The 26,480-nt window shown below is 51.4% G+C and overlaps 1 protein-coding gene across 1 annotated transcript, besides 7 other annotated features; it reads right to left on the reverse strand.

Moving 5' to 3' along the window:
* Nucleotides 4,539-4,588: an enhancer, noted in NCBI's record as "active region_9819". NCBI's record gives its function as "activates an Ori minimal core promoter by ATAC-STARR-seq in GM12878 lymphoblastoid cells {active_cell/tissue: GM12878}" and the evidence as "EXISTENCE:reporter gene assay evidence [ECO:0000049][PMID:35858748]".
* On the reverse strand, nt 8,270-10,624 carry RPP25 (ribonuclease P/MRP subunit p25). Its single transcript, NM_017793.3, has one exon. The coding sequence runs from the start codon at nt 10,433-10,435 to the stop codon at nt 9,836-9,838; it is 600 nt and encodes a 199-aa protein (NP_060263.2). The 5' UTR covers nt 10,436-10,624; the 3' UTR covers nt 8,270-9,835.
* Nucleotides 8,440-9,373: an enhancer, noted in NCBI's record as "H3K4me1 hESC enhancer chr15:75246929-75247862 (GRCh37/hg19 assembly coordinates)". NCBI's record gives its function as "activates a minimal SCP1, AML or CMV promoter by ChIP-STARR-seq in naive H9 embryonic stem cells {active_cell/tissue: H9 hESC(naive)}" and the evidence as "EXISTENCE:reporter gene assay evidence [ECO:0000049][PMID:30033119]".
* Nucleotides 9,374-10,307: an enhancer, noted in NCBI's record as "H3K27ac-H3K4me1 hESC enhancer chr15:75247863-75248796 (GRCh37/hg19 assembly coordinates)". NCBI's record gives its function as "activates a minimal SCP1, AML or CMV promoter by ChIP-STARR-seq in naive and primed H9 embryonic stem cells {active_cell/tissue: H9 hESC(naive and primed)}" and the evidence as "EXISTENCE:reporter gene assay evidence [ECO:0000049][PMID:30033119]".
* Nucleotides 10,267-10,916: a silencer, noted in NCBI's record as "silent region_6662". NCBI's record gives its function as "represses an Ori minimal core promoter by ATAC-STARR-seq in GM12878 lymphoblastoid cells {active_cell/tissue: GM12878}" and the evidence as "EXISTENCE:reporter gene assay evidence [ECO:0000049][PMID:35858748]".
* Nucleotides 10,267-11,241: a biological region, named in NCBI's record as "H3K27ac-H3K4me1 hESC enhancer GRCh37_chr15:75248797-75249730".
* Nucleotides 10,308-11,241: an enhancer, noted in NCBI's record as "H3K27ac-H3K4me1 hESC enhancer chr15:75248797-75249730 (GRCh37/hg19 assembly coordinates)". NCBI's record gives its function as "activates a minimal SCP1, AML or CMV promoter by ChIP-STARR-seq in primed H9 embryonic stem cells {active_cell/tissue: H9 hESC(primed)}" and the evidence as "EXISTENCE:reporter gene assay evidence [ECO:0000049][PMID:30033119]".
* Nucleotides 12,236-12,792: an enhancer, noted in NCBI's record as "H3K4me1 hESC enhancer chr15:75250725-75251281 (GRCh37/hg19 assembly coordinates)". NCBI's record gives its function as "activates a minimal SCP1, AML or CMV promoter by ChIP-STARR-seq in naive H9 embryonic stem cells {active_cell/tissue: H9 hESC(naive)}" and the evidence as "EXISTENCE:reporter gene assay evidence [ECO:0000049][PMID:30033119]".

Genomic DNA, 26,480 nt, shown 5'->3' on the forward strand with positions numbered 1-26,480 from the left:
GAGATGGAGTCTCACTCTGTCGCCCAAGCTGGAGTGCAGTGGCATGATCTCAGCTCACTGCAAGCTCCGCCTCCTGGGTTCACGCCATTCTCCTGCCTCAGCCTCCCAAGTAGCTGGGACTACAGGCGCCTGCCACCATGCCTGGCTAATTTTTTTGTATTTTTAGTAGAGACAGGGTTTCACCGTGTTAGCCAGGATGGTCTCGATCTCCTGACCTCGTGATCCGCCTGCCTCGGCCTCCCAAAGTGCTGGGATTACAGGCGTGAGCCACCGCGCCCTGCCTGCTTTTTATTTTTTAAGAGACTGGGTCTGGCTATTTTGCCCAGGCTGGTGTTGAACTCCTGGACTCAAGTGATCCTCCTGCCTCAGCCTCCCCAGTAGCTGGGACTACAGGTTGCGACACCAACCCAGGCTGTGGCAGTTATTTAACAGTGTTTCTCTCCAGAAACATGTTCAAACCATTACTGAAGGTGAAAAGCAAAAGAAGGGGATTTAATTTTGTGTCTCTCTTACCACTGTAAATGTGGCTACATAACATCTCAGAGAATAAACAATCTTGATGAACCATCAAAATCAGCTGAAGATCTTATTACAATGTGTATTCCCAGGTCCCTCCTGGGAGAATCTGATCCTGTTGGTTTAGAGTTTAGCCCAGGTAATCTGTTTTTTGTTTGTTTGTTTCGTTTTCTTTTTTGGTTTTTTGTTTTTGTTTTGCTTTTGAGATGGAGTTTCCCTCTGTTGCCCAGGCTGGACTGGGGTGGCATGATCTCTGCTCACTGCAACCTCCGCCTCCCTGGTTCAAACGATTCTCCTGCCTCAACCTCCCAAGTAGCTGGGACTACAGGCGGCTGCCAGCACACCCGGCTAATTTTTGTATTTTTAGTAGAGTCAGAATTTCGCCGTGTTGGCCAGGCTGGTCTCTCACTCCTGACCTCAAGTGATTCGCCCACCTTGGCCTCCCCAAAGTTCTGAGATTTTAGGCGTGAGCTACCACACCTGGCTTGTTTTTGTTTTTTTGAGAGGGAGTCTAGTTTTGTGCCCAGGCTGGAGTGCAGTGGGCGATCTTGGCTCACTGCAACCTCTGCCTCCCGGGTTCAAGTGATTCTCCTGTCTCAGCCTCCCAAGTAGTTGGGACTACAGACACTGGCCACCATGCCCAGCTAATTTTTTTTTTTGTATTTTTAGTAGAGATAGGGTTTCATCATGTTAGCCAGGCTGCTCTCAAACTCCTAGCTTCAGGTGATCTGCCTACCTCGGCCTCCCAAAGTATTGGGATTACAGGCGTGAGCCATTGTGCTGGCTTTTTTTTTTTTTTTGACACGGTCTTGTTCTGTCACCTAGACTGGAGTGCAGTAGTGTGAACATGGCTCACTGCAGCCTTTAACCCCTGGGCTCAAGGAGTCCTCCTGTCTCAGCCTTCCCAGTAGCTGAGACTACAGGTGCATACCACTATGCCCAGTTAATTTTTGAAATCCGTAATCTGTTTTGTTTTGTTTTTTTTTTTTTAACATGGAGTCTCACTCTGTTGCCCAGGCTGGAGTGCAGTGGTGCGATCTCAGCCTACTGCACCCTCCACCTCCTGGGTTCAAGCAATCCTCCCACCTCAGCCTCCTGAGTAGCTGGGATTACAGGCCCACGCCACCAAGTCCCAGCTAATTTTTGTATTTTTAGTAATGATGGGTTTTCACCATGTTGGCCAGGTTGAACTCCTGACCTCAAGTGATCCGCCCACCTTGGCCTTCCAAAGTGCTGGGATTACAGGCATGAGCCACCAAGCTCGGCCAGTAATCCGTATTTTTACACTTGATTTTAGCCAAAAGGTGGAGAAGTGATAGTAATCTGTATTTTTAATAACTGTCCAAAGCGATCCTGACAATGAGCCAAGGTTGAGAGTTCCGGTAGTATTATCTCCCTTTTCTCCACAGCAATCTGGTTTATTTTGCAAACAAGAAAACTGAGGCTCAGAGAAGAATTAACTTGCCCAAAGCCTCAATCATACTGACTTCCTCCAAAGCCTATGATCTCTTCCATACAACATCAGACATAACGTTTGTTGGCACAAGGCTGCAAAGTAGAGACCTTCCCACCACGCAGGGCTGGAAATTCTGGTAACAGGGGCCTTGGCAAACAACCCACATTCCTCTTCCCTATTCCCACTGAAGGCTGTGAGAACACTTGTTGGATTAGAGTCCTAGCTGCCATAATGAAGTACTACAGGCTGGGTGGCTTAAAACCCAGAGGAGGCCGGGCGCGGTGGCTCACACCTGTAATCCCAGAACTTTGGGAGGCCGAGGTGGGCAGATCACCTGAGGTCAGGAGTTCGAGACCAGCCTGGCCAACATGGTGAAACCCCATCTCTACTACAAATACAAAAATTAGCTGGGCGTGGTGGCAGGTGCCTGTAATCCCAGCTACTCAGGAGGCTGAGGCAGGAGAATCACCTGAACCTGGGAGTGGAGGTTGCAGTGAACCAAGATCGCGCCATTTTACTCCAGCCTGGGCAACAAAAGCGAAACTCCATCGCAGAAAAAGAAAAGAAAAAAGCATAGAGAAAAAAAATTATTGTCTAACAGTTCTGGAGATTAGAAGTCTGAGATCAAGTGGGGCAGGGCCATGCTCTCTGAAGACTCTAGGGAAGTATCTGTTCCATGCCTTTCTCTTAGCTTCTGTCATTTGCAACCTTCCTTGGCTTGCAGGTGTATAAATCCAACCTCTGCCTCCATATTCACATGGTATTCTTCCCTCTGTGTAATCAATCTCTGTCTCTTCTCTATTTTATAAGGATTCCTCATTGAATTAAATTGTATTGGATTAAGGGCCCATTTTACTTAATATGACCTCATCCTAATTTCTTAATTTAGATCTTTATTAAATCTGCTGAATCTCTTTTCTTTTTCTTTTTTTGAGACAGAATTTCGCTCTTGTTCCCCAGGCTGGAGTGCAATGGCTTGACCTTGGCTCACTGCAACCTCCACCTCCCAGGTTCAAGGGATTCTCCTGCCTCAGCTTCCCGAGTAGCTGGAATTACAGGCATGCACCACCATGCCCGGCTAATTTTGTATTTTTAGTAGAGACAGGGTTTCTCCATGTTGGTTAGGCGGGTCTCGAACTCCCAGCCTCAGGTGATCCACCCGCCTCGGCCTCCCAAAGTGCTAGGATTACAGGCGTGAGCCACCGTGCCCAGCCTTTTTTCCTTTTTTTTTTTCGAGACAGAGTCTCACTGTCACCCAGGCTGGAGTGCAGTAGCACAATCTGGTGGCTCACTGCAACTTCCACCTCCTGGGTTCAAGTCATTCTCCTGCCTTAGCCTCTTGAATAGCTGGGATTACAGGCATAAGTTACCACGCCTGGCCAATTTTTGTATTTTTGAAGAGATGGGGTTTCACAATGTTGGCCAGGCTGGTCTCAAACTCCTGACCTCAGGTGATCCACCTGCCTCGGCCTTCCAAAGTGCTGGGATTGATTACAGGCATGAGCCACCATGCCAAGCCAGAGTTTCCAAATAAGGTATCAGGGATTAGGACTTCAACATGTCTTGGTGGGGGGGCACGAAATTCAATTCATAGCACCTATAATATTCAGGTGTCAGAAACAACACTGGAATCCTCAAGCTGAATATACAAACCCAATTGCCATGGTGACCCTAGCTTCTCCAAAGGCAGGGGTACCCAAGGGCTCAGATGGGATGAGAAGCTGTGGAAGAGATAGGGGCAGCTTTGGCCATTGGTTGGATGGTTAAGAATTGTAATGTGACATCAGAACAGTTCAGAAACCTGGCTCAGAAAGTCTTTTGTTGGTTTGAAAGAGTGGAGTGATCATGGCTCACTGCAGACTGGACCTCCCAGACTCAAGCAATCCTCCCACCTCAGTCTCCTGAGTAACTGAACTGCAGGCACACACCACCACATCCAACTATTTAATTTTTTTTTTTTTTTTTTTTTTTTTTTTTTGTAGAGATGGTATCTCACTATGTTGCCAGGGCTAGACTCGGAACTCCTGGGCTCAAGTGATCAGCGCTCCTACCTTGGCCTCCCAAAATGCTGAGATTACAGGCATGACCCACTGTGCCTGGCCAGCGGCAAGTCCATTCAATCAACAACTCTCTAAGAGCTTCTCATGTGCCAGGAGCTGGGCAAGGAGCAAGGCAGGCAGGATCCAGTCAATCACGGGCTCATGGGTTAGTAGGGTGACCAATAGCCAAAAGATAAGACTAATGAGGACACACTTATAAACCAGTATCTGTGCTCTGAAAGGAAGAAACTTGATGCCTTTGAGGAGACCCTCCTGTGGCTGCATTTTCCTCCTCTTTCATTCTCCTTCCCTTCCTTCCTTTCCTTTGCCTTTCTAACTACCATTCTCTTGGAGACCTGCGAGTGTTTCAACATCTCAGTGAAATAGAGGGACGAGAGCATCACCTAGTGGTCAGTGTGGGCATAGCAATGACCAAAACTGAACTAATCAGCTTGGGAGATGAAGGGCAAGGGGTGGTGGGGGTAGGCAGTGTGTGTGTCTGGCCCAGGTATGCACCTAACAGTGAAGTGAATACACTCTGGCAGATTCATGGCAATGGACAACAGCTCTTAAAGATTTACCAATTTGAAGCTGGGTACTCCCACCTCCCACAAAAAATAATCACTCCATTGTTTGGTCCTGACATAGCACGTCCCCTGGGGTGCCAGAAAGGCAGACCAAGTCCTGGCCAGGCAGGGTTAATGCTCAAGGAGAACCCTCCCATTTCCTGGCTGTAATAGCAGTGAAATCCTACCTAGCCTGGGTAGCTCTCACATCTGCTCCCATCTCCCTCCGCATTGCCGATGTCTCATCTCTTATCCCTGCATTGTCTCTAGGGTCTAATCAGACCCCCTTCCAATCCACTCCCACTTACACAGGTGTCAGAGGGATCCTTCTCAAACACCAGTCAGATCTGGGCTCAGAGCACTCCCTGGCTCCCAGTGGCTCCCTCACTTCCCTGTGACCTGGCTCCCACCGGCTCCCTCACTTCCCTGTGACCTGGCTCCCACCTAGCACTCTAGTTCACCTGCATCTCTACACGTTACCCTCTGCCATCTCCTCTATCCATCAGACACCTGTGGCAGCCTCAGCATCATACACACCCGCTCTCTATGCTCTGCCTGGAGCTCCCTGTCCAGTCTTGGTCAGCTGGCTAACTCCTGATCCTTGGAGAACCAGCTCCATCAGCACCTCTGGGCAAGGTAAGTTCCCCTTCTCAGAGCTCCCATCTTCTATCATCACACTGTGCTAGATGGGCCCAGGCTGGAGTGCGATGGCACATCTCAGCTCACTGCAACCTCCACCTCCTGGGTTCAAGCGATTCTCCTGCCTCAGCCTCCCAAGTAGGTGGGATCACAGGCGCCCGCCACCATGCCCGGCTAATTTTGTATTCATCATATTGGTCAGGCTGGTCTCAAGCTCCTGACCTCAGGTGACCCCCCCCCCCCCGTCTCTGCCTCCCAAAGTGCTGGGATTACAGGCGTGAGTCACCACACCTGGCCAAGACTCGGCCCTCTTTGAGGTACAGTGTCTGATTATGCTGTGATTCTATACCCAGCCCCAGCCCATTTCTAGACTGGGTCCCGGTACAACAGTGAACACTTGTTGAATGAATGAAGGCTCAGGTGGAAGTCCATCACTCATTCGACCATGAGCTCTGGGCCTTGCATTATATACTTTTATGTTTCCAAATGGATTTTGTTTTTGTGACCTAAGTTTTCTAGGTGTGAGACTTCACTGCCGCTCCTAGTCTGGAAGTATCCCAAGGCGGGGCCAAGGCAAGCACCAGGCTGGGTCCAGGAAGCTCCTGGGTAGAGACCACTATTGGAAAAATGGGGTTTCACAAGAGGGACTCTCCCACTCTGCCACTAGTCGGCTCCTGAAATGGGCCTTGTCTCTGAGGTGCTCCCCTAGCCACCCCTCCCTTTATCCCAGGACTTCTGAGGTTCCCACTTCAGCCTTGGTGGTGGGGAGCGGGTAGAGGAACATCTGTCACCTTCTTTTGGAGCCTGCTCCTAGGTCAGTGGGGCCAGAAATCAGTAGGGCAGAGATGGAGTGCTCATGCGTGCTGGGTTCCATTGGTGAGTCAGCACACCTACTGAAAGCCTGGGAACCAAACTTGCCGGGGTGGGGCGGGAGTGCAGAAAAGAAAGTGTTTCATGACCTGCTTGGGGGAAGGTTAATGCTCTGATGCTGGATAAACATGTTCCTCTCTTCTCTACCCCCCAGGATAGGTTTCTGGGCTGGAAGGGAACTTTTCTGACCCATCAAGAGAAATCCACTGCAGGCCGGGGGCAGTGGCTCACCCCTATAATCCCAGCACTTTGGGAGGCCGAGGCGGGTGGATCAGTTGAGGTCAGGAGTTCAAGACCAGCCTGGCTAACACGGTGAAACCCCGTTTCTAATAAAAATACAAAAATTAGCTGCTCATGGTTGCCCACGACTGTAATCCCAGCTACTCAGGAGGCTAAGGCTGGAGGATTGCTTGAACCTGGGAGGCGGAGGCGGCAGTGAGCCAAGACTGTGCCACTGCACTCCAGCCTGGGCAACAGAGTGAGACTCCGTCTCAAAATAAAAAATAAAATAAAAAAATAAAAAGAGTCCGGGAGCAGTGACTCATGCCTGTAATCCCAGCACTCCAGGAGGCTGAGGCGGGTGGATCACCTGAGGTCAGGAGTTTGAGACCAGCCTGGCCAACATGGTGAAACCCCATCTCTACTAATAATAAAAAAATTAGCCGGGCGTGGTAGTGCACACCTATAATCCCAGCTACTCCGGAGGCTGAGGCAGGAGAATCACTTGAACCTGGGAGGCAGAGGTTGCGGTGAGCTGAGATTGTGCCATTGCACTACAGCCGGGCGAAAAAATATATATATATATAAAATCGTGGTGGCTCACACCTCTAATCCCAGCACTTTGGGAAGCCAAGGCAGGTGGATCACAAGGTCAAGAGATTGAGACCATCCTGGCCAACATGGTGAAATGCCGTCTCTACTAAAAATACAAAAATTAGCTGGGCGTGGTGGCACATGCCTGTAATCCCAGCTACTTGGGAGGCTGAGGCAGAAGAATCGCTTAAACCCAGGAGGTGGAGGTTGCAGTGAGCTGAGATTGCACCACTGCACTCCAGCCTAGTGACAGAGCAAGACTCCTTCTCAAAATAATAATAATAATAATTAAAATAAAAAAAATAAAAAAGAGAGGCCGGGTGTGGTGGCTCATGCCTGTAATCCCAGCACTGTGGGAGGCCGAGGCGGGTGGATCACCTGAGATCAGGTGTTTGAGACCAGCCTGGCCAACATGGTGAGACCCCTTCTCTACTAAAAATACAAAAACTAGCCGAGTGTGGGGATACACGCCTGTAATCCCAGCTACTCAGGAGGCTGAGGCAGGAGAATCGCTTGAACCCAGGAGGCAGAGGTTGCAGTGAGCCGAGATCGCACCACAGCACTCCAGCCCGGGCGACAGAGAGATACTCCGTTTCAAAAAAAATAATAAAAAAAAATCCATTGCAGCCTTATCTCCGTGACAAGACTAGCAGACCCTGCTTTCTTTTTTTTTTTTTCGAGACGGAGTCTCACACTGTCGCCCAGGCTGGAGTGCAGTGATGCAATCTCGGCTCACTGCAACCTCCGCCTCCCAGGTTCAAGCGATTCTCCTGCCTCAGCCTCCTGAGTAGCTGGGATTACAGGCGCCCGCCACCATGCCTGACTAATTTTTGTATTTTTAGTGGAGACGGGGTTTCACCATGTTGGCCAGGCTGGTCTCAAGCTCCTGACCTCGTGATTTGCCCGCCTTGGCCCCCCAAAGTGCTGGGATTACAGGATTACAGGCATGAACCACCATGCCCGGCCTCAGGCCCTGCTTTCATAGTCCTGGTAACCCGGCTATCAGTCACTTGTTGTCTTGGAAAGTTGGACCCTTTTCAGAACCAAGACCAGTCTCCCTTAAGCTTCTACCATGCAGGACCTTGTCCAAGTTTTATCACTGCCTTTAGATGCTGAAGTCCAGGAGAAGCTAGGCCATCTTGTCAGGACAGTTTACATTCTTTCCATGCTTCTTGGGCCACCCCTGAGAGGGTCAGACAAGCAAACCCAAACCCCTTGGCCCTCTCCAGGGACTCATCAAGAGCAGGAATTTGGGGAGAGCAACGAGGGACAAAGTCTGGATGACAAAGCTCACTCCAAAGCTCAAGCAGAGATACTGCAGGGGAGGGAAACCTCCCTAAGAGCCCCTCCAGTCAGCCACAGAACGTATCTCTTGTCACCAGCAGGATTTATTTCAGGGTTCTGCCAGCAAAATGACTTATAAATACATTCTTCCGCATCTCCCCCTTTCCAGGGGTGCTGCTGAGTTGCATGGGATGAGATCTGCTTCTGAGATCCTGGGGCTGTATGCCACCCCCAACTCACCAGAGCTCTTCCAGCACACAGCAGCACCCCCACCCCCCAGCTGGCTTGGAGTTGGGCAGAGAAGCTTATGAGGCTGTTATCTCTCAACAGACAGCTGTGCAGGGCTGGAGGCAGCAGCTTATCAGGAGGCCTGCAGTGATTCACAGCCCAAGACCCAGCTTCTCTGCTGAATAGTAATTTCCAGCAGTGGATTTGTGCTCAGTCTCTCTCCTCCCCCTTTCCCAAGGGTGTGCTGTCCTTTCTCAGAGAGAGGGCAGTGAAGGGGAGATCCTACCCACAGAGCTGGGGGCTTTGTGCCAGCCTTCTGGGTAAGGTTCAGTTTATTGTCTGGAGGCTGCAGATTCAGGGACCTCAGCAGGGTCTGCCACCCTTTGCAGTGACCTCCAGGAGAGTTCATCGATGCTGTCCTTCCACTCCTTCCTTCCCCTCCCAGAAAAACAATGTGCCGCTCCCTTTCCCTTAGTGGCGATGTACAGGGGTACACGGGCCCCCATTTGCAACAGCCTCTGAGGCCAGGGCCAGCCCGGGAGGGCGGAGTGGGGGAGGAGAGAGGAAGAAGCCAGGGACTGGGCAGTGCCTTGCACCATTTTGAAGCTGTTCAGTCTCTGTGCCTGACCCTGAAGACTCCAAAGACTCAGGACGCAAGGCTGGAGGGGAGGGGAGACACAAGGGGCCAGGCGAGAGCTGTCTCTGCACAGGCGGGTGGTTAGAAAAAAAATGGGGGACACAGCCATTTTTGTGCTTGTTTTATTGGAAGCAAGACTCCAGCCAGCTGCAGGGCTCAGGGGAGGAGGCCTGGAGAGTTCAGTCCTGGGTCTCCCTCTGGGCCAGCAGGGGGAAAAGGGGTGTTAAAAGAGCTAGAACCCTCAGAGATGCTCCTCTGAAGCAGGGGAAAGAAAACTAGAAAGGAAAACTGTCCCAGGGCGGGGAGCGGAATAGGGCCCCCACATCTCAGACTCTCCTACCCTCAAGCAGTTAATTCTCACCCCCTGCCTTCCTCTGTCAACGGTGGGGGTGATTCCAATAACTCTTCTCAGCTTCCATACTTCAGGTGCTCTTCGTGAATGCTGGGTGGCTTTAACCCTTGGGGGTCCCAAACAAGTTTCCAGAATCCCACTGTCCACCATTCTCCCCCAAAGAAGGTCCCAGAAAAGGTGAAGTTCCGTGTCTTCACGCAACACGGGCATAAGCAGCAATTATCGCACGAAGTTTCCCTAGGGTGGTCGGGGATCCTCTCCTGCCACTCCTGGGGCCCCTCTCTTGTCGCCTTAAGGTCCATGCTACCTGTCTTGAGGAGCTGTGTCCAGGTTGTGGGCTCCGGAGGACCGAGGAGTGAAAGGCTGGAGGTACATCTGAAGGTGGAGGCGCTGGCGGAAGATCCTGCCGGACTAGGTGGCCCACAGTCCGGAGTTTCAGGCCGTCTGATCCTCGTCCGCAACCCCTGGCTCGGGTTGCGATCGCTTCGCGGAGCCTTCTCCAGCTGCGGGTTCCCCTAGGCTCCTCTTGGACGCTGGCGCGGCTGGCGGGGACGAGGGACCAGGATGGGGATTCGGGGGCTGGTAGCCGGGCTGTCGCGGATCCAGCGCGTCCTTGGAAAGTAGGATGGCGAGGCCGGGCACGTTCTTAAGTACGCTGAGACTAGCGGCCGGCTCGCCAGGCGTCTGACCCTGCGTGGGCCCAGGCGGGAGGCTCTGCCACACCTCGCGTACGCTCCGGTAGCGCAGCCGCGTGACCTGGTGCAGGCCCGCCAGGCGGCGCTTGAGGATCTCGGCGCACGTGACGGTTTTGGTGGTGGCCCGGCCGCAGCCGCTGAAGACGATGGCGCGCGTGGCTGGCTGCGCCATGCTGGCGGTGGCGAAGGCCATCAGGTTCCGGATCTTGCTGCCTTCCTTGACCCGCATGTGCACCGCGCCCGGCGCCAGGTCTGCGAAGGGGCCGGAGCCCGGGCCGCCTCCCTCGGCCCCGCACCCCGCTGGCGCCTCTTCGGAGCGCACCTTACGGAAGTTCTCCATGCGCCGTCGTCGCCGGGACCGCCGGCTTTGCCATGGGGCGGCCTCAGCCCCGGGGCTGCATGGCCGCCGGTCGCGCCTTGCAAGGGCCAGCAGGGGTAAGGGCGCCGGAGCAGCGCAGACGCCGGCGGGCGGGCTGGGACGGCGCGATCTCGGCCCCACTTCTCTCGAGCGGGCGCCGCTCTACTCAGCGCTCTCGGCGCCGGGTGCTCCGCGCCTTTAGCTGAGGCCCCGCCCCTGCCGCCAGGCCCCTCCCCTGACCCGGCCCGGCCGGGCCCGCCCGGGCCCCAGCCTCACTAGCCTTTCCTGGCGAGTCTGGGTCCTCAGCTACGCGGGCGTGGGAGCGGGCGCGCTGCGGGGCGCATGAGCAGGTGAAGGTGAAGTTCCACTATAATCGCCATCAGCGCTCTGAGAGCCAACCCTCACAAACCGGCAGTCTAAATAAAAGCTGCGCTTGCCGTGCAAACACTGCTTCAAATCCGGTATCCGAGCCCTTCCCATTTGCAACTGAAGGCCGCCCCTCGTCCCCTCCCAGGGAGAGATTTCCAAGAGGCTTGCTGGGGCCTTGCCCCTCCTCCCCCGCCCCGGGGAACACCCCCACCTTTTTTCCGCTCCCAAGTATTCTTGCCTCAAGGACAGCTAGTGCGCGGTCAGCAGAGTGCGGGAGGAGCTGGCTGCGGCTCCACTCCGCGCCTCCCCGCGGGCGATTACGTCGCGGCGTGGTCCTCGCGGGGCGCGGAAGACCCAGACTTCAGCCTCGCCACGCCTGCCCGGAGCTCGAGGCTCCCGGACCCCCGTCCACCCCTGGGACGTGAGGAGTGAGGCTTTGGGCCAGGCTGTTCCCCGAGGCGCGTGGGGAAGCGGGCGTGACCTCTTCTGAAAAGGCGGTAGGCTCGCTCCACCCAGGCCCTAGAGCCCACCCTTAGAGCTGCGCGCTTTAGGGTGAGCCAGGCACGATGCCTTGCCAACGTGGCCGCCCCCTTCCTCCCAGGCGGAATTCGCTCAGGCAACATTGGCCCCTTGAGATCCAGTGGGGTCCTTTTCGAAAGGAGGCTAGGTGAACGCAGGTTTTAAAAAAGAGAAGGGAGGGGCCGGGCGCGGTGTCTCACGCTTTTAATCCCAGCACTTTGGGAGGCAGAGGTGGGCGGATTACTTGACGTCAGGAGTTCGAGACCAGCCTGGTCAACATGGTGAAACCCCGTCTCCATTAAACGTACAAAAATCAGCTCGGCGTTGTGGCACGCTCCTGTAATCCTAGCTGCTCGGGAGGCTGAGGCAGGACAAGCGCTTGAACCCGGGAGCTGAAGGCTGCAGTGAGCCGAGATCATGCCACTGCACTCCAGCCGGGGCGACAGAGCAAAGCTCTGTCTCGAAAAATGAATAAATTAATTAATTAAATAAAATACAAAAGAGAAGGGAGGGATACCCCATTCTCCAGGATGTGATTATTATGCATTGCATGCCTGTATCAAAACGTCTCATGTACCCTCTAAATATAGACACCTATTGTATACCCACAAAAATTAAAAAGACTTAAAAAAAAATAAAAGAGAGAAAGAAGGGAGGAAGATGGGGAGTTGAAGCCCTGGGGGCATTATGGAACTACTGGATGCCTCTCCGGCGGAAACTCCACGGGACCGAAAGAGAGGCCCGGGGTCTCCTGCCGGGTGAGAGAAGCATTAGAGAAAGATGAGATTGGGGGCTGTCAGGACTACTGATGGAAGGGAGGGGGTCTGAGAAGGGGCCCGACCCTCCCTAAAACTGCTCTCGGGATTCCCCCGTCCTCCTTCCACCCGCCCTACGCAGTCAGGACTGAGAGAGGGCGGCAGATCTGGTCCTAGCCAGGGGACTGTGACGGGGCGTGGCGGGGAGGGACACAGAGAGCTGGGGCGGGCGGGCCACCGGGAAAGTGCTGGGGGCATGACAGTGCCTTGGATTGCTGGGCCTCAGTTGGAGATGGGGCTGCCAGATGCTGTTCTCCCTCCTCCCGCTGTTCTCGCCCTCTGGGCATCTGCAGCAGCTCTCAGTCCCTGCTGTTCAAAACCAGGGTTTACTTCCTTGTCACTTCTTGGGAGCGGCCCTCGGTCCCTGCTGTTCAGAACCGGGATTTACCCTCTTACCACTTCCTGGGAGTGGCTGCGGCGACTGGACCTTGGCACCGCAATGTGTGAATGGCTGACCCCCTCCCCGTCTCCTGGTGGGATCAGGAACCCTCGGGGTATGCTCCGAACCGGGACTTCGGTCTCGGTCCAGTCTCCATGGGCCCCACACAGCGGTGGGGGCTGGAGGCACAGCAGCCTTGGGAAGAAACAAAGACTGTCCGCAGCGCGTAGCGGGGCGTGGAGAACCGAGGGCTGTGTAAGGTCAGGCCCTGAGAAAAAGCCCCCGAAAGGCTGGAAGTTACGTTGGAACGGGCTGGTTGTGGAAGGAGCGAGCTCTCCGTCCCCGGGAGTATGCAAGTTTGGGCTGCACGATCACTTGGAAGGGATTGGGCGGAGTTCTGTCATTTGGAGAAAGGGTCCTGGGAGCTTCAGGTTTGTGTAGGGCGAGGACGGGGCGGTTCTGCGTCCGGCCAGGTTGGCCCTCGAGGACCCAGCCGTCCCCAACCTCCTAAACTGCTGTCGGATGTAGAAGACTCGCATTCACTGCTCTCCACAGTCGGTGAAGGGAGAACGCCGAAAAGGGCCGCATTCCCTCCTGCCGGTCCCCTCCCCTTCCCGCGCTCCCTCTGCAGCACTTAAAATGTAAATGTACATCGTGATTAGCCGCGGGGTCGCTAATTACAGCTGAAGCCATTCATTACACTGTCAGCGCGCGTCGCAGCCCGCCGGCTGTGCGCTCCCTCCTAGCCGTGAAGGGGTGTAGGGGGTGGGGGCGGGAGATGCGGGGAGTGAGGGAGGAAGGATGGGGTGCTGTGAATTAGGGTAATGTGGCAGGCCTGGAGGAAGCTGGAGTGGGAGAGAGCGGGCAGCGAGCGGGGAAAACAGGGTGGGCGGTGAAGGACGGGGCGGGGTGGCGAGGAGAGAGGAGAAACGCGAGAGGCAGGAAGGAATTGGGGCATGAAGTAGTGAGGACACAGGGAAAGGGGCTGTATGAGGGGGGAAACAGCGTAGGGGACAGGGCGAAGGGAGAAAAAGCTGAGAAGAGGGTGGGAACCCCAGGGTGGGGCCAGAGTCAGAGGAGGGGAGCACAGGGCTCAACTTCAGAAAGGCTGGTAAATTTTAAAGTAGAGCATCAGTGGTGCACACCACACAATGGTTAGAAAAGTGGAGTCAGTGAAGACGTTGTGTTAAAGGAGCTGGGTGCCAGCCATACACAGAGTAGGGGGGCATTTATTTCCGTGTGTGTTTATAGATGTAAATGTATTTTTAAAATATCTGCAAGAAAACAGCACACTGACCTCTTGTTACCGCATGAAGTTTTCATTACCTTCTTTAAGAAAAGGACAATTAAATATGAATACAGAGTCTTGGAGCAGCTTGCATAAATGAGCTACTGACCCTGAAGCTTCAGCTTCTATTAGCTTCTTTCTGCCTCTGTGTGACCTTGGACAATTTACTTAACCCATTTGCTTTGGCTTTGTCATCTGTAAAATGGGGCTAATTATAGTAATCTACCTCACAGAGTGATTATGAGACACAGCCGTCTTGGAACCTTGGCTGCTAAGTTCTCAGGAAATGTTGGCTGTTATTATTTTTCATATATTATTTGTGAATTTAAAAAAATTGTAAAGGGATTGGGGGAAAGAAAACTGGTGAAAAGGAAAAGAAATTGGGAAAGACTCAGAAATAATAGCAGTTTTCACTCACAGTGAACTGGTGAGTGGCAAGCTAGACTCCTTTCACCCTGGGAGGAGGTGTTGGGGTAGCTGGGCTAGAGGCCAAGCCTAGCCAATACATATCTGTTAAGGTTCCCTGGGACCTTTCCAGCAGCACACCCTACTTCCTGTGGACAAATCTCTCATGTTCACACTGGAGGGGGATCGCTGGTACAGCCCCTCTCCTCTGTCTCTTGTTGCAGGAGGAGGATGAGGAGCTCTTAAAACCCCTGATCCTAGTCCCAGCCTCTTTGGGCAGGGTCTTGGGAGCATGCAAGTAGAGTCAGGAATTAGAAAGTTAGCAGGGCCAGGCCGGGCGCAGTCGCTCACTCCTGTAATCCCAGCACTTTGGGAGGCAGAGGCGGGCGGATCACGAGGTCAGGAGATCGAGACCATCCTGGCTAACACAGTGAAACCCTGTCTCTACTAAAAATACAAAAAATTAGCTGGGCGTGGTGGTGGGCGCCTGTAGTCCCTGCTACTCGGGAGGCTGAGGCAGGAGAATGGCCTGAACCCGGGAGGCGGAGCTTACAGTGAGCCGAGATTGTGCCACTGCACCCCAGCCTGGGCGACAGAGCGAGACTCCGTCTCAAAAACAAAACAAAACAAAAACAACAACAACAAAAAAGAAAATTAGCAGGGCCAGAGGGAACTCAGATTTAGCAGGCACCCACCGAGTGCCCAGCATTGGGTCAGATGTGTTTAATCTCCACACTCTTCTTTCCAGGAAGGTATCATCATTGTTTGACAGATGTGAAACTGAGACCCAGAGAGGTTAAATAACTTGCCTTATGTACCACAGCTAGAAAGAAGCAACCACAGATGTTTGAACTCAGAGTTCTGACTCCCTTTACTATCTCAGCCGAATGTATGAGAAAAATAAACTTTTAAGTGACTCAAACTGCCCAAAGGGGTTAGCTTTGGGAGATGAGGGTGTTCCATAGTGGAAAAGATGTGTTGGTGATCTGTTGCTGCATAAAAATTACCCCACAGCTCAGCAGCTTAAAACAGCAAACATTTGGCCAGGTGCAGTGGCTCCAGGAAGTTTAGACTGCAGTAAGCTGTGATTGTACCACTGCATTCCAGCCTGGGCAACAGAGCGAGACACTGTCTCAAAACAAACAAACAAAAAAAAACCCAACAACAATCATTTATTATTGTGAGATCACACAATTTCTGAGGGTCAGAAATCCAAGAACAGCTTGAAGAGGTCTCATCTAGCTCAGGGTCTGTCATGAGGCTGCAGTCAAGATGTCAGCTGGGCATGGAGGATCTACTCCCAAACTTACTTCACATATCTGTTGGTCAGAGGCCTCTGTTTCTCCACTGGTCTGATCATGACCTGGCAGCTGGCTTCCCCTAGAGCAAGTGATCAGAAAGAGACAAAGAAAGAGAGGGACAGAGAAAATAAGCAGGAAGCTGCAGTGCCTGTTATGGGCCAGCCTCCTCTGAAGTTGCACGCCATCATTTCCAGTTTATTATATTAGTTGGAAGGTAGCCCAGCCTACATTCAAAAGGAGGGGTTTCAGACTTCATTTCCTGAAGGGAAGGGTATCAAAGAACTGTAGGCATTTCAAAAATCACAACAGAGCCGGGCGCGGTGGCTCACGCCTGTAATCCCAGAACTTTGGGAGGCTAAGGCGGGTGGATCACAAGGTCAGGAGATCGAGACCATCCTGGCTAACACAGTGAAACCCGGTCTGTACTAAAAATATAAAAAATTAGCCGGGCATGGTGGTGAGTGCCTGTAGTCCCAGCTATTTGGGAGGCTGAGGCAGGAGAATCGCAGGAACCCGGAAGGCAGAGGTTGCAGTGAGCCGAGATTGCGCCACTGCACTTTAGCCTGGGTGACAGAATGAGACTCCGTCTCAAAAAAAAAAAATCGCAACAGAAGGCGAGTGTTTGGGAGGCAAATTTAGGAGGAGACGGAAGAAGGAATCAACATATTGAAGCAAACACGTGGAAAGAACACTGACCTTGAATCAGGAGAGCTAGGTTTATTTCCCGGCATACAGCAAGCACTTAATAGATGTTTAAGTGAATGCATGATTGACAATTTTTCTGAGATTGTTTTCACAGACGTAACAGCAGTTACCACCCCACATGCTCTCCTGAGGATTGAGTGGGATTATGGGTATCAGAGCTCTCTGTAAATGTAATAGTGCTGGTTGATGATGCCTGGAAGTGAATGTGGTCTGGGAGACAGGGAGAGGGCTCTGCCATACAAGAGCCTCTGCCCAGGCCAGGCATCTCTTCTGTCAGACTGAGTCCCAGGCCCTGGGGTAGTGCTCTGATTCCAGCTCTCCTTCTCAGCTCTCTATCTCACCCTCGGTCCAACCTCCTCACCATGGCTCAGCTCTAGGTATTGCTTTTCTCCTTCAGCCAGTCAGGACAGGACCCAGGAGACTTACCATTGGCCAAGCCTCTTGCCTGCAGGCCACTCTACCTCTTGTGCTGGCTCTGGCCCCACAGATGGGGAATGGGGGTTTGCATTGCAGACCCAGTGAGTGATGCCATTTGAGGACAAGAACCATTAATCTTGCATGAAATTCAATTGCTCTCCTAGCAGATAGGCCAAGTCACCGGAGTCCTGAGAGGAAGAGGGGTGTGTGGGGCCTAGAATGAATGAGGAGTGGTGTCTGTGGAAGGGGAAAGGAGAGGAGAGGCAAAAGCATCCATGGGACCTCCTTCTCGTTCTCCTTAAGACGGGATGCTGCCAGTAGTTCCCCTATCTTCCTTCCAGACTCTAGAGGCAAGTGCAGCGAAAAGCCACTCACCTGGGCAACATTAGTGTTCCCAGGAGAGCTCCTATTCCTGAAAGACTTCCCAAGAGCCTGCTGTGATGCCCAGAATCCTCCATTATTGCTTCCCCCCTTAGGATCAGTTTTGTCCTCTGAAGATAAGGTCCCTCCAAAATGGGAATTGGTCAAAACAAAATAATCCGGATGCTTGAGAACGTTGGGATGGGAGGAAGATATAGAGCTGATAAAGTGAGGAATCATTATCAATTACAGCTGACATTTAGTTAGCACGTACTATGTGCCAGACACTATCCTAAGCACTTTACATGTACAAACTCATCACATACAACAAGCACTATGAGGTAGCTGCTACCCACTTCATACGTAAATTAGAGCCAGATCCAGAGACAGATGGTCTGGCTCCAGTGTCTGCTCTTAACCATGGCACTAGACCATTGCAGGAGGAAGGGAAGGCAGGGCAGAAAGCCACCAGCTATCAAGACCTCCCTGGCTATCCATAATGAAGGGCACAGCACTCCAGGGCGTGTTCTGCTTTGCATTTGCCTGGTGTGGAAGGCATCAGGGCTGGTCCTTCTCCAGCACTGACCTGGGGCAGAGATAGGGAGCTTGGTTGGGTCTGCTTCCCTAGAAATATATCATATGCCCTTCAGGGTGCACTGAAGTTTGTCTGTTTTTGAGACGGAGTTTCGCTCTGTCACCAGGCTGGAGTGCAGTGGTGTGATCTCTGCTCACTGCAACCTCCACCTCCTGGGTTCAAGTGATTCTTCTGCCTCAGCCTCCTCAGTAGCTGGGACAACAGGCGCATGCCACCACGCCCAGCTAATTTTTGTATTTTCAGTAGAGATGGGGTTTCACCATGTTGGCCAGGATGGTCTCCATCTCTTGATCTCGTGATCCACCTGCCTCGGCCTCCCAAAGTGCTGGGATTACAGGTGTGAGCCACTTCGCCCGACCGAGGTTTTTGTTTACAACTCAGAAAATGCTTGCCCATCTGACACCCAGAAGCAGCTAATGGGGTGGTTACGAGTTTGGACTCTAGAGCTCCACTGCCTGTGTTGGAATCCCAGGTCTGCCACTTACCAGCTGTGCCCTTGGTCAAGCTATGGAACGTCTCTGTGCCTCGATTTCTTTCCCTGTGAAATAGAAACAATGACAATAGTACTTATCTCTTAGAATTGGCTCAGGTTAGGCCGGGCGTGGTGGTTTATGCCTGTAATCCCAGCAATTCGGGAGGCCGAGGCGGACAGATCACTTGAGGTCAGAAGTTTGAGACGGGTCTGGCCAACATGGTGAAACCCCATCTCTACTAAAAATATAAAAATTAGCTGGGCATGATGGCGCACACCTGTAATCCCAGCTACTCCGGAGGCTGAGGCAGCAGAATCGCTTAAACCTGGGAGGCAGAGTTTGCAGTGAGCCGAGATTGGGCCACTACACTCCAGAGCGAGTGTAGTGTCACCTGGGTGACAGAGCGAGACAGAGCACAAACAAAACAAAACAAAAAACCGAAAAACAAAAAACAAAAAAATGATTGTCTTAGGTTATACCCCAGTACTTCCATGGAGTTGTCACCCCAGATTTCAGAGATAGGCTAAATCCCTTGTCTATAGATTCAGCTACTGAGCATTAAAGCTTGTAGGGAAACCCGTGGTGGTGGGGGGATGGGGTAAAAAAACACAGGGAGGCAGAAGGGGGATGTTGACTTCCATGTGGCAGCCAGCACTGCTGGGCCTCAGCTGTTCATTGACAGGCAGGACTGCAGGCCCAGTGGTTTTATTTTGATTGTGTGTGATTGAACATTTTCTGCTTCATTTCAATGAGAGTTGTCTGTGTCAGCTTTTCTGAATGTTACATAGATAGAACCCTTCTTCCTTCACATCCGGTTGAGTCAGGCTCATGACAAACAATGTAATTTCCTTGCTGTAGAGTCCCCTAGGGTCTGGAGTACTGGGAAGAAGCCAGGAAATTGTTCCCTTTTTCCTGGGTCGCCTCTCTTCCTGACAGTTGTTCCTTTCCCACCTTCCCATGGTGGTGAGAGTGGAAACAGCATTTTTCACATGCTACCCTTGATACCTCCATCCCCCAGCCTGCCAGCCTGGAACAGAGCCCCCAAATCAAGCTGGATGAATTGGGGTTCCTCTCAATTCCAGGAGACACTTAGTCAAATTCCCTTTATGGCCACGAGGATAATTACAACCAGATAATTGTCTTCCTTCTCTTGAACGAACGATGAAGTAAATCAAGTGTGCCTGCCTTCTACTCTGAAGTAAATCACAAAGCACCCTGTATGTATTCTCCCAGAAGATAAATTTTATACATTTCAACAAGGAAAGAGAACATATTTTGTTTGCAAAATTCCTGGGAGAACTCTCTATCTCTCTCTGCCCAGAAATTATGTGTACCTGCTGATGAATGACCTGCCTGATGAACCTGCCTTGGGAAAGATAATAGAGTTATGATTGGATGTCACCAGCTCTCATCATTTCTGCTGTGGGAGAAGTCACAGGAGCAGGCAGAACTCTTCCCTCTGATGAAGCAGTTGTCTTCTTGTAACCACAGATCTTCTTCGTTCACTGGGGTTGTGGGCACACCTTTAAGATTCTGCCCTGCGCCGGGCGCGGTGGCTCACGCCTGTAATCCCAGCACTTTGGGAGGCCGAGGCGGGTGGATCACGAGGTCAGGAGATCAAGACCATCCTGGCTAACATGGTGAAACCCCGTCTCTACTAAAAGCACAAAAAATTAGCCGGGCCTGGTGGCGGGCGCCTGTAGTCCCAGTTGCTCAGGAGGCTGAGGCAGAAGAATGGCGTGAACCCGGGAGGCGGAGCTTGCAGTGAGCCGAGATCACGCCACTGTACTCCAGCCTGGGCGACAGAGCCAGATTCCGTCTCAAAAAAAAAAAAAAAAGAAAAGAAAAAGATTCTGCCCTGAAGTCCAAGTGAGCTACACAGGTCCAGTGTTTTCAAAAAAGAAGTCCCCAAACTCATGTTTTTATGTGACAGTTTCAGGTTTTTATTTTTTATTTTTTTATGTTTAATTGTTTTTAGACAGAGTCTCACTCTGTTGCCCAGGCTGGAGGGCAGTGGCACGACCTTGGCTCACTGCAACCTCTCCGCCTCCTGGGTTCAGGCGATTCTCCTGCCTCAGCCTCCCGAGTAGCTGGGACTACAGGCTTATGCCACCACGCCCTGCTGATTTTTGTGTTTTTAGTAAAGATGCGGTTTCACCAGGATGGTCTCCATCTCTTGACCTTGTGATCCGCCCACCTCGGCCTCCCAAAGTGCTGGGATTACAGGAGTGAGCCACTGCGCCCAGCCTATTTTTTATTTTTAAATTTCTTTTAGAGACAAGGTCTCATTTTGTTGACCAGAGCTGGAGTGCACTGGTGCAGTCATAGCTCACTGCAGACCTGAACCCCTGGGCTCAAGGGATTCGCAGGCACATGCCATGTGGGCCAGTTTCAGGTTTTTAAATGTTGTCGACTGTTTCAGTTATCTATTGCTGAGTAACAAATCACCTTAAAATCACAAATCACCAGGCCAGGCGCGGTGGCTCACGCCTGCAATCCCAGCACTTTGGGAGGCTGAGGCGGGCGGATCACGAGGTCAGGAGATTGAGACCATCCTGGCTAACACGGTGAAACCCCGTCTCTACTAAAAATACAAAAAATTAGCCGGGCGTGGTGGTGGCCGGTGCCTGTAGTCCCAGCTACTCAGGAGGCTGAGGCAGGAGAATGGTGTGAACCCAGGAGGCGGAGCTTGCAGTGAGTGGAGATTGCGCCATTGCCCTCCAGCCTGGGCAACACAGCGAGACTCCCATCACACACACACACACACAAAAATCACACATCCCCTTAATTAGTGGCTAAAATAGCAATGATGTATTATTTATGTTTTTTTACTATTATATATTTTTTAAAAATAGAGATGGGCTGGGTGCAGTGGCTCACGCCTATAATCCCAGCACTTTGGGAGGCCGAGGAGGGTAGATCTCCTAAGGTCAGGAGTTCTAGACCAGCCTGGTCAACATAGTGGACCCTGTCTCTACTAAAAACACAAAATTAGCCAGGCATGGTGGTGGGCACCTGTAATCCCAGCTACTCGGGAGGCTGAGGCAGGAGAATTGCTTGAACCCAGGAGGCGGAAGTTCCAGTGAGCTGAGATCAGTGTAGCCTGGGCAGCAGAGCAAGACTCCATCTCACACAAAAAAAAGAGATGGGGTCTCACTATGTTGCCCAGGCTGGTCTTGAACTCCTGGGCTCAAGTGATCTGCTCACCTATGCCTCCCAAAGGGCTGAGATTATAGGCATGACGCACCATGTCCAGCCAATGATGTATTATTTCTAATGACTTCGTTTTGGCTGGGTTCAGCTGGGCAGTTAGTTCTTCTGCTCCACTTAATACTGGCTGTGGTCACTCACATGGCTTCATTCAGCTGGGAGCTTGACAGAGGTCAGAACACTCAAGATGGCTTCATTCATAAGTCTAGTGCCTCTGCTGGGGTGGCTGGAAGGCTGGGGGTGTTGGCTGGGCCTCTCTTTTCATGGACTCTAGCCTAAGCTTCTTTCTTGAGTGGCTTGATCCCAAAACAGTGAAAATGGGAGCTGTCAGGCTTTGTAAGGCCTAGACCTAGATGTCACACATTATCATGTCCTCTACATTCCATTGGTCAAACCAAGATACATGTCTAGACCAGATTCAAGGGATAAGGAAATAAACTGTACCTCTTGGTGAAAGGCCTGACATGTATATACAGGAATGGGAGGAACTGTTGACAGCCATCTCTGCAGACAATCTACCACATGAACTAACTCATGTGTTTTTGTTTTTTGTTTTTGAGATGGAGTCTCGCCCTGTCGCCTAGGTTGGAGTGCAATGGCACGATCTCGGCTCACTGCAACCTCCGCCTCCCAGGTTCAAGCGATTCTTCTTCCTCAGCCTCCCAAGGAGCTGAGATTGCAGGTGCCCGCCACCACGCCTGGCTAATTTTTTTTTTTTTTTTTTTTTTTTTTTTTTTTGAGACGGAGTCTCGCTCTGTCGCCCAGGCTGGAGTGCAGTGGTGGAGTCTTGGCTCACTGCAAGCTCCGCCTCCTGGGTTCACGCCATTCTCCTGCCTCAGCCTCCAGAGTAGCTGGAACTACAGGTGCCTGCCACCACGCCTGGCTAATTTTTTTTTGTATTTTTAGTAGAGATGGGGTTTCATCATGTTGGCCAGGCTGGTCTCAAACGCCTGACCTTGTGATCTGCTGGCCTCAGCCTCCCAAAGTGCTGGGATTACAGGCGTGAGACACTGCGCCTGGCCTAGCTCATGCTTTTAAATAACGTATCTGTAGCTCAGTTTAGCCCAAGGTTGCAACTTCCTTTTTTTTTTTTTTTGAGACAGAGTATCTCTCTGTCGCCAGCCTGGAGTGCAGTGACCTGATCTCAGCTCACTGCAACTTCCATCTCCTGGGTTCAAGCAATTCCCTGCCTCAGCCTCCCAAGTAGCTAGGATTACAGGCGCCCACCACCATGCCTGGCTAATTTTTGTATATATATATTTTTTAGTAGAGACGGGGTTTCACCATCTTGGCCAGGCTAGTCTTGAACTCCTGACCTTGTGATCCACCTGCCTCAGCCTCCCAAAGTGCTGGGATTACAGGCGTGAGCCACCACACCCAGCCTCCTTTTATTTTTTTAATTTAAATTTTATTTTTTTGAGACAGAATCTTGCTGTGACGCCCAGGCTGGAGTGTAGTGGAGCAATCAGGGCTCACTGCAAACTCTGCCTCCTGAGTTCAAGCAATTCTCCTGTCTCAGCCTCCCGAGTAACTGGGATTGCAAGTGCCCACCACCACACCAGCTAATTTTTTGTATTTTTTGTATTTTTTTTTTTTTTAGTAGAGTAGGGGTTTTACCATGTTGGCCAGGCTGGTCTCGAACTCCTGACCTCAGGAGATTTGCCCGCCTCGGCCTCCCAAAGTGCTGGGATTACAGGTGTGAGCCACCGTGCCCGGCCATGCCCAACTAATTTTTGTGTTTTGTTTGTAGAGACGGGGTTTTGCCATGTTGACCAGTCTGGTCACAAACTCCTGGCCTCAAGTGATCCACCCGCCTCAGCCTCCCAAAGTGTTGGGATTACAGGCATGAGTAACCATGCCCAGCACAACTTTTTTTTTTTTTTTTTAAGACAAGGTCTCACTGCTGTCACCCAGGCAGGTGTGCAGTGGCACTATCACAGCTCATTGCAGACTCAACCTCTCAGGCTCAGGTGATCCTCCCACCTCATTTTTAGATTTTTTTTTTTTTTTTTTGTAGGGATGGGGTCTTACTATGTTGCCCAGGCTGGTCTGGAACTCCTGGGCTCAAGCAATACTCCTGCCTCGGTCTCTTAAAGTGTTGGGATTACAGGCGTGAGCCACTGCTCTGGGCCAAGGTTGCAACTTCTACTTGAAACTTTCAGGGAATTCACCTGGAAATGCAGGGGCTTTTTTTTTTTTTTTTTTTTTTTTTTTTTTTTTGAGACAGAGTCTCACTTTGCTGCCCAGGCTGGAGTGCGGTGGTGCGATCTTGGCTCACTGAAACCTCTGCCTCCCAGGTTCAAGCGATTCTCCTGCCTCAGCCTCCCAAGTAGCTGGGACTATAGGTGTGCACCACCATGCCTGGCTAATTTTGTATTTTTAGTAGAGACGAGGTTTCACCATGTTGGCCAGGCTGGTCTCGACCTCTTGACCTCAGGTGATCCTACTTTGGGATTGTTTCCACCCATCAGCCTGAATCCCAAAGCTGCCTAGTTCCTAACCTGAAGGGAAGAAGGCCAGGTGATTGGCTGGGTGCAGTGACTCACACTTGTAATCCCAGCACTTTGGGAGGCCAAGGCAGGCGGATCACCTGAGGTCAGGAGTTCGAGACCAGCCTGGCCAACATGGCGAAACCCCCCATCTCTACTAATAATAATAAAAAAAATTAGCCAGAAAAGAAGACCAGGTGATTAATGAGATCTCTTTATTTTATTTTTAGAGGGAGTCTCACTTTGTCACCCAGGCTGGAGTGCAGTGGTGCAATCTCGGCTCACTGCAACCTCTGCCTCCTGGGTTCAACTGATTCTTCTGCCACAGCCTCCCTAGTAGCTGGGATTACAGGCACATGCCACCACAGCCTTTTAGTAGAGACAGGGTTTCCCCATGTTGGCCAGGCTGGTCTCAAACTTCTGACCTCAAGTGATCTGCCCTCCTCGGCCTCCCAAAGTGCTGGGAATACAGGCGTGAGCACCGCGCCTGGCCTATTTTATTTTATTTTATTTTTTTGAGACAGAGTCTTGCTCAGTTGCCCAGGCTGGAGTACAGTGGCATGATCTCAGCTCACTGCAACCTCCCTGGTTCAAGCAATTCCCCTGCCTCAGCTTCCCAAGTAGCTGGGATTACGGGCACATGCCGCCACGCGTGGCTACCTTTTTTGTATTTTTAGTAGAGACAGGGTTTCACCATGTTGGCCAGACTGGTCTTGAACTCCTGACCTCAAGTGATCTGCCCTCCTCTGCCTCCCAAAGTGCTGGGATTACAGGCGTGACCCACTACGCCCCGCCCATTTTATTTTTTGGAGACAGAGTCTCACTCTGTTGCCCACGCTGATGTGCAGTGGCACAATCATAGCTCACTGCAGCCTTGATTGCCTGGGCTCAAGGGATCCTCCTGACTCAGCCTCCTGAGTAACTGGGACTACAAATATGAGCCACCATGCTGGCTAATTTTTGAATTTTTTTGTAGAGACAGGGGCTTGCTATGTTGCCCAGGCTGGTATCGAACTTTTGGCCTCAAGTGATTCTCCCACCTTGGCCTCCTAAAGCTCTGGAATTATAGCTGTGAGGCACTGTGCTTGGTCTGAAATCTCTTTTATTTATTTATTTATTTATTATTTTTTTGAGACAGAGTCTTGCTCTGTTGCCCAGGCTGGAGTGCAGTGGTACAATCTCAGCTCACCGCAACCTCCGCTTCCTGGGTTCAAGTGATTCTGCTGCCTCAGCCCCCTGAGTAGCTGGGATTACAGGCGTGTGCCACCACGTCCAGCTGGCTTATTTTTGTATTTTTGGTAGAGACGGGGTTTCACCATGTTGGCCAGGCTAGTCTCGAACTCCTGACCTCAGGTGATCTGCCCACCTTGGCCTCCCAAAGTGATGGGATTACTGGCGTGACCCACCACACCTGGCCCTGAGATCTCTTTTTTTTTTTTTTTTTTTGAGACGGAGTCTCGCTCTGTTGCCCAGGCTGAAGTGCAGTGGCACCATCTCGGCTCACTGCAAGCTCAACCTCCCGGGTTCACGCCATTCTCCTGCCTCAGCCTCCCTAGTAGCTGGGACTACAGGCACCCGCCACCACACCCAGCTAAATTTTTTTGTATTTTCTTAGTAGAGACGGTTTCACCGTGTTAGCCAGGATGGTCTCGATCTCCTGACCTTGTGATCCGCCTGCCTCGGCCTCCCAAAGTTCTAGGATTACAGGTGTGAGCCACAGCGCCCGGCCCCTAAGATCTCTTTTAATATCCTGTAGTGCTCACCAGCTTTGACTTTAGCCTGAGGAGTCATTGCAGGATTTTAATCAGGCCTATCTTGATTAGATTAGTACTTTAGAATGTTCACATAGGATGCTAAGAGGCCTTTGTTCCAGTTAGCAACCGCTGCGTAACAAATTATCAGAAATCTAGTTGTGTAAAACATTTATTTATTTATTTATTTATTTATTTATTTATTGAGACAGAGGTTCACTCTTGTTGCGCAGGCTGGAGTGCAATGACACGATCTCGGCTCACTGCAACCTCCACCTCCCGGGTTCAAGCAATTCTCCTGCCTCGGCTTCCCATGTAGCTGGGATTACAGGTCTGTGCCAGAACGCCTGGTTAATTTTTTTGTATTTTTGGTAGAAATGGGGTTTCACTATGTTGGCCAGGCTGGTCTCAAGCTCCTGACCTCAGGTGATCCACCCACCTCGGCCTCCCAAGTGCTGGGATTACAGGTGTGAGCCACCACACCTGGCCAAAACAATTATTTATTATGCTCACAGATTCTGTGGGTCAGGAATTTAGGCAGGGCACATTGGAGATGGCTTTGTTTCTTCTCCATAATGTCTGAGGTTTCAGCTTGAATGCTGAGGCTGAATTAATGGCAAAACCTTATCTCTAAAAAAAATAAAAGTTAAAAAAATTTTAAAAAATGACCACAGCAATGGTCCCAAGTGCTAGGATTACAGCTGTGAGCCACCACACTCAGCCTATTATTATTATTATTTTTTTTTATTATTATTATTTTTTAATGATTTAATGCTGGGCATAGTAGCTCATGCTTGCAATCCCAGCATTTGGGAGGCCAAAGTGGGCAGATTACTTGAGCTCAGTTTAAGACTAGCCTGAGCAACATGGTGAAGCCCCATCTCTATAAAAAATACAAAAACCAGCCAGGTATGGTGGTGCACGCCTGTAATCCCAGCTACTCAGGAGGCT

This window comes from Homo sapiens, chromosome 15, assembly GCF_000001405.40.
Source record: "Homo sapiens chromosome 15, GRCh38.p14 Primary Assembly".
In the NCBI taxonomy this organism is placed as follows: domain Eukaryota; kingdom Metazoa; phylum Chordata; class Mammalia; order Primates; family Hominidae; genus Homo; species Homo sapiens.

Bases quoted from the DNA above. Each gene is read 5' to 3' on its own strand.
- RPP25 (NM_017793.3), bottom strand. From the start codon at position 10,435: ATGGAGAACTTCCGTAAGGTGCGCTCCGAAGAGGCGCCAGCGGGGTGC.